Source organism: Homo sapiens, chromosome 6 (assembly GCF_000001405.40).
Source record: "Homo sapiens chromosome 6, GRCh38.p14 Primary Assembly".
NCBI lineage: Eukaryota > Metazoa > Chordata > Mammalia > Primates > Hominidae > Homo > Homo sapiens.
This window is the reverse complement of record NC_000006.12, coordinates 3,240,195-3,253,203: the sequence shown is the minus strand read 5'-3', so window position 1 is coordinate 3,253,203 and position 13,009 is coordinate 3,240,195. Positions and strand designations below refer to the sequence as shown.

Here is a 13,009-nt window from a genome sequence, read left to right as displayed (position 1 = left end):
GCTGCTGTGGGGCACTTTGGGCTCCTTGGTGAGTTGAGAACAGTCACCATCCTGGCAAGGGAGATCCACCCTGGTCATCAGCAGGAAGAGGGCTGTTGACACCCTGTGGGAGGAGCAAGGAAGGTATTCGGTACTCAGCTGATCTACTTGGGCGCCACAGGGGACTCCCTTGCCCAACTGTGACAGTAAATGGAGGAAACAGCAACTCCAGCCTGGGAAGGGCAGATCCCCTTGCCAGGGAAGAACTGTCGCCCAGCTGCTGGGAGCACAGAGCCTTCAAGTGTCATCCCCCATAGGGATTTGTTCAGCTCCTGAGAACTGCCTTGCCTAAGGTCTTTCCTGTGGGGACTTTCTGTTGAAGACAACGGATTAAAGGCATGGCCACTTGGGCGCAATGTGCATGGTCAATTCTGACAGCCGCTTTCGCCCTTTCTGGCTGATTTTGTTCCTCAACTAAAGTGAATCTGTGGCTAGCATTGCTCTCAGAGCCACAGGCACACCCAGCAGCCTGCAGGCGTTCCCACCTGACTCACAGCACCGGCCCCTCGGCGCAACCACACTGAGCAGCTCCTCCCTTCCTCTCCTGTCCTACCCGCGGCCAGCTTGCCTGACTGTGTTCCGGACAGTGGTGCACAGACCAGACGCATTCATTTCCCAACCGTAAATATGAGACTCTTCCCAGTTACTGCAGCAGCGCTGCCTGCTCACATCTCCCACACTGGCCTGCACTGCTGCTGTGACATTCTGATGTTTCCTTGCTTCTTGTTTCACTGGCTTCCAATTTTTCTTTCTCACTATTGCCAGAGAGATCTATTGAAGCAATATGTCTGATGATGCTACGCCTTCTAATAATTCTTTGGTGATGTGTAGCCCAAACACCTTTGCAGACACACAAGGCCCCTCACCTAGCTGCTGGTCCCCTTCGTGTCTGTCCCTGATGTCACGCTCAGGCAATAACTCCACAGTTCAGTATCTGCCCCGTGTACCACCACACACGGCGCCACTGGGCCTGGGCCTGCCCTGCCTTACCTGCCTGAGAGACTAGTACTCCTGAGGTTCACCCCAACACCACCCCTCAGGGAAGCCTTCCCTGGCTCCAGGCAGGCTGGCGGCAGCTTCTCTTGGCCCTCATTTTTACCTCCTATAGAGCAATCATTGTATGCAATGTAAAATAAGATATATTTTATGTAATGGTCTTTCTGCATGCCCACCTTCCTCTCAGGAAGCTCCTAAGGATAGCGACAGGGCCTTTCGTCTGCAGTGCAGTGCACAGCCTTGGACTCTGCATGTAAGGCAGATAGCGAAAGTTGATTGAATGGTTGAGTGAGAGAACACAGAAGGACCTCACTGCAGGCCTCATCAGGGTCTTAGGCTCTAGTCCTAGCTCTACCACTAATTATCTCTATACCTTTATTCTAGGTCTGTTATCTTAGCTGTAAATTGAGACGATTGGCTTAGATCGTCTCTAAGGCGCCTTCCCGAGCTAATACCCTATGAAGATCAGATAAGAGAGCCGAATGGTAACTGGAGCCCTTCACTGCCGCCCATGTCATTCTGCAGGGGGCCACTAGGTGGCAGGTGGGAAGGAAGCGGGCAGGTTGAGAGCTGCCTTTGCTTTCAGAAAGCGATGGGAGTTACTGGATTCTTGCTCCTGCAGATCACTCGGGCAGGACAGTTTATTTCTCCAGATTCTGCAATTGCAGATGAAGCACGGGGGTCCTGGTCCCCGGGTAGTTCACAGCCCACAAATGTAAAACCGCCCAGCAGCAGAAGGCGAAAGAGGCCGATTCGAAGAGAAAAAGCAAGGTTTCCTAGGGTGTTTGATTCACCCCCTCCTCTTTCTCCGACCAGGTTAGATTGTGAGCCTTTGTCTGGCATGAATTTCATTAAGAACAAAGATTCAAAGATGATGGATAAGAAAACTGCTCCGTGACCAGCTGGGCAAGGTGGCTCACATCTGTAATCCCAGTGCTTTGGGAGGCCGAGGTGGGAGGACTACATGAAGTCAGGAGTTTGAGGTCAGCCTGGCAACATAGTGAGAACTTGTCTCTACAAAAAATGAAAACTTAGCCAGGCGTGGTGGTGTGCACCTGTAGACTCAGCTACTTTGGAGGCTGAGGTGGGAGGATCACTTGAGTCCAGGAGTTCCAGGCTGCAGTGAGCTATGATTATACCACTGCACTCCAGCCTGGGCGATAGAATGAGATCCTGTCTCAAAACAACAACAAAAATCTTCCTTTGATCATACATTCACTCTGATTACCTCCCCGTATCTCTGCTTCCCTCTACAGCAAAACTCCTGGAAAAAGGCTTCATATGTGCTGTTTTCAATTCCTCTCTTCCCTTGCTCTTGTGAACTCGCTTCTTTCCTGACATTTCACTAAACTGCTTCCACCAAGGTCACCACGCCACATCTTAGTCTCTTCCTTGCTCAACGGGCAGCATTTGATTTCTGGGGCGCTGCTCTGTCTTGGTGCCTCGTCCCTCCAGGTCCCTCCTTCTCAGGCTCCTTGGCTGGTTCTTCGTCATAGTCCCACCTGTGCAGCAGAAGCGTCCAGCGTCCTATTCTCTCCAGCTCCGCAGCCCATGGCTTAATTCCTTCTGCACACGGATGACTCCCACACTGGTTTCTCTGGAGCCAACCTCTCGCCTGAGCTCCAGTGCATATGGTCAGCTGCCTACTCGGCATCTCCATCAGAAACCTCCAACTTACTGTGCGGTTTCCCTCCAAGCCTGCTTTCCCACAGGCTTCCCCATCTCAGCAGCACCTGCATTCTTCCAGCTGTGGGTCCCAGCTGTCCCCACTCACCCTTCACAAGCACAGACAAAACACTTTGGCCAGCAGCAGCCGTTTCCCAGTACACAAAAGAAGAAGGCTTGCCCAAGTTCTGATGTCATCAGGCCCTGGTTCAAAAGGAAAAATAGGATAATCCTGTTTCGTCCAGAGGAAAAAGGCTTAAAGTGGATGGAAACAAGTTAAGCCTCACATCACTGTGATTCACAGGCAGAATCAACCAGAATGAGATTTTTCTATAACTCTTCCTAAAATGTCAATACAGTTTTCTTAACCGAGCAAGTGTCAATACAGCCCTGCCCTACCCAGAGGACAGCTCTGGCCTTAGACCCTGGGCAACCCCATGAAGGGCATTAGGGAGGCACCCTGTCTTCACTCCACCCGACCCCTGCTGCTGTGGAGGCAGGGGCAGCAGGAGCCCAAATTTTACCTTCCCCAACCCTGCCCCTGCGGTGTAGGGCCAGCCCTGGGCTGTGGCTCAGTAGGAACCATGAGTGATGAATAAAAAGATTCCTCCCCATCAGGCTAGGCCTGGGGGGCAGCCCAGCTTTTTTACCCACTTGCTTTAGGGAAGGGCAGTAACAAGATGGCAGATTAAGCACAGCACAACAGAAAGGAGATTTCCAGCATGAGAGCAGTTGGGTAGTTGGTCCTCATCTTGCTAACCCTTTCTTCCAGCAGATTTTCTATGCACTGAGCTCCGTGCACACTATTGTGTATTTGATTGGATCTCCAGGCACAGACAGCTTGTTGCAGAGACAAGACCAGCAAACACAGAATGAAAACCAACAATAGAAGACAGAGCATGAAACACCACACAGTTCAGGAGTAAGAAGGGGCTGAGCCAGGCTGGTCAGGTAGCTGGGCCTGAGATGTCAGGGTGAGTTAGGCTAGAGGAAGAGAAGAGGGTGTGCTGGGCAGGGGAAATGGGTGAGCAGTGCTGTAGGGCAGCATGGGACGGGGGGTAGAGTAGCCTAGTGGGGTAAGAGTCAGGTCATATATTTGAAGAGCCTCACAGAAATCCCAGCAAAGCCAAACATGGTGGCATCCACCTGTAGTCCCAGCTCCTCAGGAGGCTCAGGTGGGAGGATCGATTTAGCCCAGGAGTCAGAGGCTGCAGTGAGCTATGATCCCGCCACTGCACTCCAGCCTGGGCAACAGAGTGAGACCCTGTCTCTAAATAAATTAATTAAATAAAGTAAAAATAAAATACAAATCCCGAGGCAGCAGGTATAATGACTCACTTTTCTTTTTTTCTTTCTTTCTTTTCTTTTTTTTTTTTTTTGAGATGGAGTTTAGCTTTTGTTGCCCAGGCTGGATTGCAATGCTTGATGTCGGCTCACTGCAACCTCTGCTTCCTGGGTTCAAGCAATTCTTCTGCCTCAGCCTCCCTAGTAGCTGGGATTACAGCCATGCCTGGCTAATTTTGTACTTTTTGTAGAGACGGGGTTTTGCCATGTTGGCCAGGCTGGTCTCGAACTGCTGACCTCAGGTGATGCACCCGCCTCAGCCTCCCAAAGTGCTAGGATTGCAGGCGTGAGCCACCGCACCCAGCCATGACTCACTTTTCAAAAAAGGAACTGAACGCTGAATAAATGAAGAGCCCACAAGGCACTTAGTCGCTGAGGGTGGAGCTGAGGCTTGGATCCTGGACCACCTCCCTGCACCCCTTTCCAGGTGGAAGAGTGGGGATCCCAGGCAGGGATGGAGGGTGAGGATCCGTGAGGAGCTATGGGGTGCTGAACAGAGGACCTGAATTTAAGTGAACACGCAGGCTTCCAGGCAAGGTCAGGCACCGTGCACACAGTGGCGAGGAGTGTAGCCACCACCTCTCCGAAATCAGCTCCAAACAGGCCCTCCAGGTAGACAGCAGTCCTGGGGCCATGTCACCAAAGCCAGTGGGAACTGTTCCACCTGCTCACTCTGGGTTTCTTATCCCAGATCTCAAAATCTCCAGCACAACCCCAAAGGTCCAGTGTTTCCATTAAAATGTGGGTCTCAATGTGATTTTATTTTGTGACTGTTAATGCTTTTTAGCTAAACGAATTCACGCATATGGGAAGGGGGAATCCCTCCCCAGATGGTGTGTACCCTCGTTTGGGTTGGAAAATATGTGGTTGCACATATGTGTGATTGTGGAGGGGCTACCTGACAGCTTTGGAAGGCACGCATGATCAGTGGGGCACAGTGAGACTCCCCGAGGATAAGCAAAGACACAACTCTCCCGTCCCACGAAAGAGAATTTATATCCTGGGTCCAAATCATGCCTAGTGAAAGAGCACCTTGTCTTCCGGGTAAAGCTTCCCAAGTTTTATTAGAATCCTCAGCCTGACTTCAGAGCGTTGTGCCTAAGATACGCAATCATGGAGGCTGGCAGAACAAAAGGCTGTTTCTCTCCGTCTCTCTCCTGCTGAAACGGATCATGTGATACAGAAGCAGATTCATCTGCAAGGCCCTGCGTGGGTGGGAGGGGCAGGTGGGCTGCTCGGAGCTCGCCTTGGGGTTTTGCTGAGAACGTCAAAGCCCTTTTCCCGCACCGGTGGCCGGACTCTGCATGAGTCACCGCCTGCCTGCAAGCCCAGAGCTCGCCGCACCCCCCTGCCTCTCCGCACCGTCCCACAGGCTGTGACCCTCCACCCAGCCATAGACGGTTCTGCTCTTGGCACAAAGGAGGGCTTCTTAGCCGGGAATATGGCTGCCCGGGAGGGGCGACTTCTGTGCTTGTTTTTCCTTCCTGGCACTGAAAACAAGCACATCCACCCAACAAATAAAGACGCGGTCAATGAAAGCAGCTGTGTTTCAAGGGGAGACAGGGAGCAAGCCAAGGAATAAATGAAAAGACCCAGTGACAAAATGCCCATTCATCGGGTTCACTCGGCAAACATTTACTGAAGCATCTGTGTGCCAGGCACTGTCCTGAGTGCTGGGAAGACACAAAGATGCCCTTCAGAACGATGACCCCCGCCTCGCCCTCCGCTGGAACCGGGAGGCAGACACACACATAAATACGACACAGTCAACCGTCCCCAGTTCACAGCATCTAAAGGAGCTAGGAATGCATGGGATGCTTATGGAATGTGCGAGAACACGGGTGAGTCTCACAAAAAGAATGTACACGGAGTACATACTGTCGGATTCCATTTCTATCAACTCCTGAAGCCTGCAGAGCTAACACCTACTGCTGGAGGGCAAGGCAGTAGCTGCTTGTTGGGGTAGGAGATGAGGAGAACACCAAGTGGGCTTCTGGAATGCTGGACACCCGTGGTCAGTGCACCTTTTTTTTTTCCAAATTGAGACAGGGTCTCACTCTGTTGTCCAGGCTAGAGTGCAGTGGTGTGATCATAGCTCACTACAGCCTTGACCTCCTGGGCTCAAGTAATCCTCCCACCTCAGCCTCCCAAGTGGCTGCGACTACAAGTACATGCCACCACACCTGGCTAATTTTGTTTATTTTTTGTAGAGACAAAGTCTCACTGTGTTCCCAGGCTGATCCCCAACTCCTGAGCTCAAGCCAGCCACCAGCCTTGGCCTCCCAAAGTGCTGGGATTACAGGCGTGAGCCACCACGCCGGGCCCAGATGAACAGGTAAGAGACACAAGCAGCTCTGGGAACTGCAAGGTGATTAGAAGATGGGGGCAAGACTGAGCACAAAGGCGGGAGAGCACAGGATGGAGCAGGTTAGGAAGCTGGTACAGGAATCAGGACAGCGATGCCAAGGTAAGGAAGGCATCGGGGGTACAGGAAAAAGCAGAACTAAATTCAGCAAAATGCTCCCAGTTGACCAGATCCTATGGAAAAACCCTCAGCTGAACGCCTGGGGCACCCACTTACAAAGGCAATCTTATCTTATAAAGAGAGGGAATTCTCACACAGGTCACAGCATGGATGAACCTTGAGGACATTTGCTAAGTGAGAGACAAAAAAGGACAAATACTGTATGAGTCCACTCATAGGCGGTGGCTAGAGTAATTAAATTCACATAAAAAAACAGAAAGTAGAATGGGAGTGGCCAAGGGCTGCGGGAACAGCAAATTGGTGTTTAATGGGGACAGAGTTTTAGTTTGGGGAGATGAAAAGTTCTGGAATGGACGGTGGTGACAGTTGCACCCCCATGCTTCATGCCACTGAACTGTGCACTTAGAAATGGTTAACGTGGCAAATTTTATGCTATGTGGTTTTTATCACAATGAAAATTTTAAAATTTAAAAAGTTGGGGCTGGGCGCAGTGACTCAGGCCTGTAATCCCAGCACTTTGGGAGCCAGGGGCAGGCGGATCACTTGAGGCCAGGAGTTCGAGACCAGCCTGGCCAACATGGTGAAACCCTGTCCCTACTAAAAATACAAAATTTAGCTGGGCATGGTGGCGGATGCCTGTAATCCCAGCTACTTGGAAGGCTGAAGCAGGAGAATCGCTTGAACCCGGGAGGCGGAAGTTGCAGTGAGCCAAGATCACACCACTGCACTCCAGCCTGGGTGACAGAGCAAGACTCCGTCTCAAAAAAATAAATAAAAACATAAAAAATAAATAAATAAAAAGCAACCCTGGCCTGGAAGGTCTGTCATCTTAGGTATATTTTTAACCAAGAAGTCCCATCACCCTAATGAGATTCTGTATACTTTGCTGCCCAAACCATAACAGGTCCTCCTCCAATAACCCAAAATAATTCACAGATTGTTACCGACTCTACAAATATCTTATTTTATAATTTTTCAGTCTTATGAATCAATTTCATTTCCAAGAGCCCTGTTGGGTAAGTAGCCCAATTTCTGAACACTCCTCTCTTGAAGCTGTTGCTAAGAACCCACCATCCCCAGCTTCTCAGCATGGTAGGAACCATGACTTAGCCATTGCCTCCTCTATGCCTAGTACTATCCTAGGTCCTTCTTTAAACCATTTCTATCCCTCACAGTAACCCCATGAGGAAGATATTATTTCAAAGTCAGGCTGAGGAGGCCAAACATCAGACCAGTTGTGTAACTTGCCCCCGGGTCCATGCAGTGGGTTGAGAGTGAAACCAGGATTCCTGGCATAAAGTCTGCGCTTTTCCCACTCATTCCACGTAGCTCCTAGTGCTTTCTTCCATGGCGATGGCATTGAAGTGCAGATCCGTCTTCTCAGTCCTGACTCCTAGACTTTTCCCTCCAACCCCCAAGGTGATGGGATAAAGAGATAGGGCCTTTGGGAAGTTAGTGCTGTTATTAAAAAGGCCCCAGGCTGGGTGCAATAGCTCACGCCTATAATCCCAGCACTTTGGGAGGCTGAGACAGGTAGATCACCTGAGGTCAGGAGTTCGAGACGAGCCTGGACAACATGGTGAATCCCCGTCTCTACCAAAAATACAAAAATTAGCTGGGCATGGTAGCACACACCTATAGTCCCAGCTGCTTGGGAGGCTGAGGCAGGAGAATCTCTGGAACCCAGGAGGTGGAGGTTGCAGTGAGCCGAGGTTTCAGTGAGCCGAGATTGCGTCATTGCACTCCAGCCTAGGTGACAGAGCAAGACTCCATCTCCAAAAAAAAAAAAAAAAATTAAAAGGCGCCAGAGAGCTGCTTTCTCCTTCAGCCACATAAGGGCACAACAACAAGGTGCCACGAAGCAAAGAGCCCTCACCAGACATGGAATCTGCGGGCGCCTTCTCAGCCTCCAGAACTATCAGCAATAAATTTCTGTTGTTTATAAATTCCCCAGTCTAAGATACTTTGTTATAGCAACCTAAATGGACTGAGACTGACACCCATTGTGTAATATAACACTGATGATAACTGTTCCAATCACTGGGCACCTACCCTGTGTCAGGAACTGCATTTATGAGCTTTAGGTGTTGACAGTAACCATATCGGGAGGTATTAATATTCCTTGTTTCCGCCTTTTTTTTTAGTGTGCCATTTGATTCCAAATGCTATGCTCTTCCCACTTGGCTCTTCTGTTTTGTTTGTGCAATCTGGGTTCGTCTCGGAAGTGTGTATTTAAGGTTCTCTCCAGGTTAGAGAGAATGTGGCAGCATGCCTGATGATGTCACCCACTGCTTCTGTTATACCCTGCCCAGCTTACCCCTTCCCTCTGGGCCTTTTATAGGACCTTGTATTTAGTCCAACAACAACAATAGCACAACACCCATAAACAAAACACCTCTGCATATAATACAATGTACTTGCCTACTTGCTGACTGAAAGAGCTCCCACAGCCTCCCAGGTGCTGCCCTGCGCTTGGAGCAAAGCCTATCTGAGGCTGAAGAATGAGTAAGTCACCACCTGAATCCTGCCCTCCAGCCAGCTCTCTTCATCATGGAAATTCTTGGAGCAGAGTGGAAGGGAACCTGAGAGGAGAGATGGCACCTTCACTGATTCCTCCTTTATCTTTCCAGACTTCATGGCTGAGACAGAGCTGAGAGCAGAGAAAACAGACTCATAAAATCCTGGCAGAATCTTTCCATTCTAATAGGTAGGTTGGGGTGTGGTGGCTCATGCCTGTAATCCTAGCCCTTTGGGAGGCTGAGGCAGGAGGACCACCTGAGCTCAGGAGTTCAAGACCAGCCTGGGCAACATAGTGAGACCCTGTCTCTACGAAAAATAATAATAAAAAACAATTGGCCAGGCATCATGGCATGCACCTGTAGTCCCAGCTGTTCAGAAGGCTGAGGTGGGAGGATCACTTGAGGCCAGCAGGTTGAGGCTGCAGTGAGCTGAGATGGCGTCACTGTGGGCAACAGTGGGAGACCCTATCTCAAAAAGCAAACAAACAAACTCTAATCGCCGTTAAAGTTAAATGATCTACAATCTGGCTTTATGCTAGGGTAAACTGTCTTCTCACAGCTGGAAATGAAAATTCCCTATAGTAGTTGGAGGGCTCCCGACCCCCAGCCTCCCAACCTACCACACTCCAACTTTGTCTGTGCCCTGCCACGAACACTTTTCTAGAAGAGACCCCTTCTGCCACCCCACGTTTGCCACAGTGGGCTCCTCAAAGTGCTCATCCAGGAGACTGAAGATTCTAAGTTTCCAACCCAGAGACTGGAGCCAACAGAATCCCTTTTCCAGGACTTAGCATTTGGGACTCACAGAGATTTCCTCTCCCTCATTGGGCGACTGGGCTATAACAGTGGGCTTCAAAGTGAAGCTAGTAGACTGGGGACATGAAGACGTTGGAGGGGTGCAGAGTCATGAATAGCTGTCAAGGATTGGTTTCCAGATCTAAAATTGACACCTATAGTCTTTCCTATACAGACATGCTCTACTGGCGAGTGTTCTGGTTCTGAGAGCTTGTCTTTCTTTATCAACTGCCCTTTCAAGCTCAAGCTTCCCCTATTGCACAGAAGAAATGCAAGCCTCTTCCCTTCTGGAATCGCACCATGGGCAGTACTCCAGAGAGTGGAAACTCTCTGACACCAAACAAGGGACAATTCAAGAATAAATGGCACCTGAGTCCCAGGAGGGCAAAGCAGAGTGAGAAAAGAATTAGTGAGTGATGTGGAAAGGACAACATCCTTTCATCCCAGAGTCAAAGCCCCGGCAAGCCTCCAGGCCTCAGCGCTCCCTCTGTCTTACAGCACAAAAACACCTTTTGTGGATGGGAAAGGACTCAGGACGTGATCAGACTGGCCTGCTGAGAGTATCATAGGGAAGTGCTGGATGGGTTCATGGAAAGAAGTATACACAGATGAGGAACAGCAGAAAGGCATGGTAGGTGGAAATCACTGGAAAAAGTAGAAATCATCATCAGTTATTAACAAAGAATTGAGTTGAATTATATGTAGAAACATAGAGGGGTGATAGTATTGAATTTTACATTCACTTATTATGGCAATATAGTTTAAGGTGACAATTTTTCAAAAGGAGGGACAATGCAAACATCTCATACACATAAGAAGGAGAAAGGGTCAGGCGCGGAGGCTCACACCTGCAATCCCAGTACTTTGGGAGGCTGAGGCAGGTGGATCATCTGAGTTCAGGAGTTCGAGACCAGCTGGCCAATATGGTGAAACCCCATCTCGACTAAATACAAAAAAATTAGCTGGAAGTGGTGGCACATGCCTGTAATCTGTAATCCCAGGTACTTGGAGGACTGAGGCAGGAAAATTGCTTGAACCCGGGAGGCAGAGGTTGCAGTGAGCCAAGATTGCGCCATTGCACTCCAGCCTGGGCAACGAGAGGGAAACTTGATCAAAAAAAAAAAAAAAAAAAAAGGAGAAAGATTGCAGAGGCATCTCCAAGGCAGAAGACAGGCCTGGGGGTCAGGCAGAAGTGAAGACAGCTATGTGCAGCTTGCTGGTTACACATATGCACACACACACACCCATATACTCAATCACCTGCCAAAGGCACAGAAATGGGCCCGCAACTACCCTTGGTCTTTTTTGGAGTACTTTCAGTGGTTAGGCTAATCACACTTAAGAATAATTATTGATCAACCCAAATGCCCATCAGTGATAGACTAGATAAAGAAAATGTGGAACTTATACAGCATGGAATACTATGCAGCCATAAAAAAGAATGAGTTCATGTCCTTTGCAGGGACATGGATGAACCTGGAAACCATCATTCTCAGCAAACTAACACAGGAACCGAAAACCAAACACCACATGTTCTCACTCATAAGTGGGAGCTGAACGATGAGAACACATGGACACAGGGAGGGGAACATCACACGGGGCCTGTTGGGGTGGGGGGCAAGGGGAGGGAGAGCATTAAGACAAATACCTAATGCGGGGGGGTTAAAACCTAAGACGACGGGTTGACAGGTGCAGCAAACCACCATGGCACACGTATACTTATGTAATAAACCTGCATGTCCAGCACATGTATCCCAGAACTTACAGTAAAATAAAAATAAAAAATAATTTTTGGAGAAACTAGATAGATTCAAGAAATGGAGGAGGGAAGAGAAGGAAGGAGAGGCAAAGCAAAGAAAGAAAGTCAAGTAAGTGAGCACCCAGAGAACAAGCAGCAAGGTGAAGGAGCAACACCCATGTCCTAGAGACAGAAGATTTACAAAGTCTGTGACCACTTATTTTAAATATTTGAGAACCCGAACACTGGAAGATAATATTGGGGTTGGGAAACTGAGGCATGAAGTAACTTAAAATGAAAATATTTTGGCCGTGTGTGGTGGCTCACGCCTGTAATCCCAGCACTTTCGGAGGCCGAGGTGGGTGGATCACGAGGTCAGGAGACCGAGACCATCCTGGATAACACGGTGAAACCCCGTCTCTACTAAAAATACAAAAAAATTAGCCGGGCGCGGTGGCAGGTGCCTGCAGTCCCAGCTACTCCAGAGGCTGAGGCAGGAGAATGGCACGAACCCGGGAGGCAGAGCTTGCAGTGAGCTGAGATCAGCCACTGCACTCCAGCCTGGGTGAAAGAGCCAGACTCTGTCTCAAAAAAAAAAAAAAAGAAAATATTTCCCCCAAAATGACACTTATATATCAAAGAAAGAAAATGATTTAAGACAAAGGCAGGGTGGTGGTGGTGTGGAGGACATCAGATATCTGAAATCTGGAATGTGACAGTTACGGAGCTTGGACCTGTGAAGACAATGAGAATAAGATGAGGGCATCCAGGGCTTACCATCTGACACGAGGAGGTGCGATGTGATGAGCAAGGCCACACGTGGCAGCGGCCTATCCCATCTCTTCTCACAGCTCCCCAGTGTTGGGGGAAAGGAGGAAGCATGTTATTATTCTCGTTTACAGATGCGAGGCAGGGACAGGCTGGGCATTGTGTCCAAGGCCTCTTAGCTCAAGTCTGCAAAAGGCAGAGGAAGCAAATTTGGGTGGGCAACTCCTCTTCTGAGTGAATTAAGCTGCCTCCTGCTGCCTTCTAAAATCAAATTGCTGTTGTAAAAACAGTGACCTGCCAAGAGGGCCTGCCATCCAAACCTCCCCCTGGCTAACTTGACAATGGACCTGTAAGTTTGGGAAAATAAGTTCACCTTCGTCCTTCTGCGCAGTATTTCTGCAGTGGGATGACACGTGGAGGAGAGCCCGGGGGGTAAAATTCATTTTGTATTGAAGCTTCAGTTTTTCCTGGCTATAGCTATGGTATAAAGGAGAAATTTTGGGTGGTTGTTACAGGTGGCTAGCACTGTTTAGTTTGTGTTTTCCAACACAATTTGGCTTTTGATTTAGAGATCACCTTGGTGAGGATCCTACAATGACTAAAGACATGGGTTTTTAGGCTGAGAGTTTGTTTATTTGTTTGTTTGGTTTTTTCCCCCCA

General features: G+C 49.2%; 3 annotated features.

Moving 5' to 3' along the window:
- Positions 395 to 689: an enhancer, noted in NCBI's record as "tiled region #12515; HepG2 Activating DNase unmatched - State 4:PromP". NCBI's record gives its function as "activates a minimal TATA promoter and a strong SV40 promoter by Sharpr-MPRA in HepG2 cells {active_cell/tissue: HepG2}" and the evidence as "EXISTENCE:reporter gene assay evidence [ECO:0000049][PMID:27701403]".
- Positions 1,435 to 1,729: a silencer, noted in NCBI's record as "tiled region #12113; HepG2 Repressive DNase unmatched - State 4:PromP, and K562 Repressive DNase matched - State 5:Enh". NCBI's record gives its function as "represses a minimal TATA promoter and a strong SV40 promoter by Sharpr-MPRA in HepG2 and K562 cells {active_cell/tissue: HepG2 | K562}" and the evidence as "EXISTENCE:reporter gene assay evidence [ECO:0000049][PMID:27701403]".
- Positions 5,544 to 6,109: an enhancer, noted in NCBI's record as "H3K27ac-H3K4me1 hESC enhancer chr6:3247329-3247894 (GRCh37/hg19 assembly coordinates)". NCBI's record gives its function as "activates a minimal SCP1, AML or CMV promoter by ChIP-STARR-seq in naive and primed H9 embryonic stem cells {active_cell/tissue: H9 hESC(naive and primed)}" and the evidence as "EXISTENCE:reporter gene assay evidence [ECO:0000049][PMID:30033119]".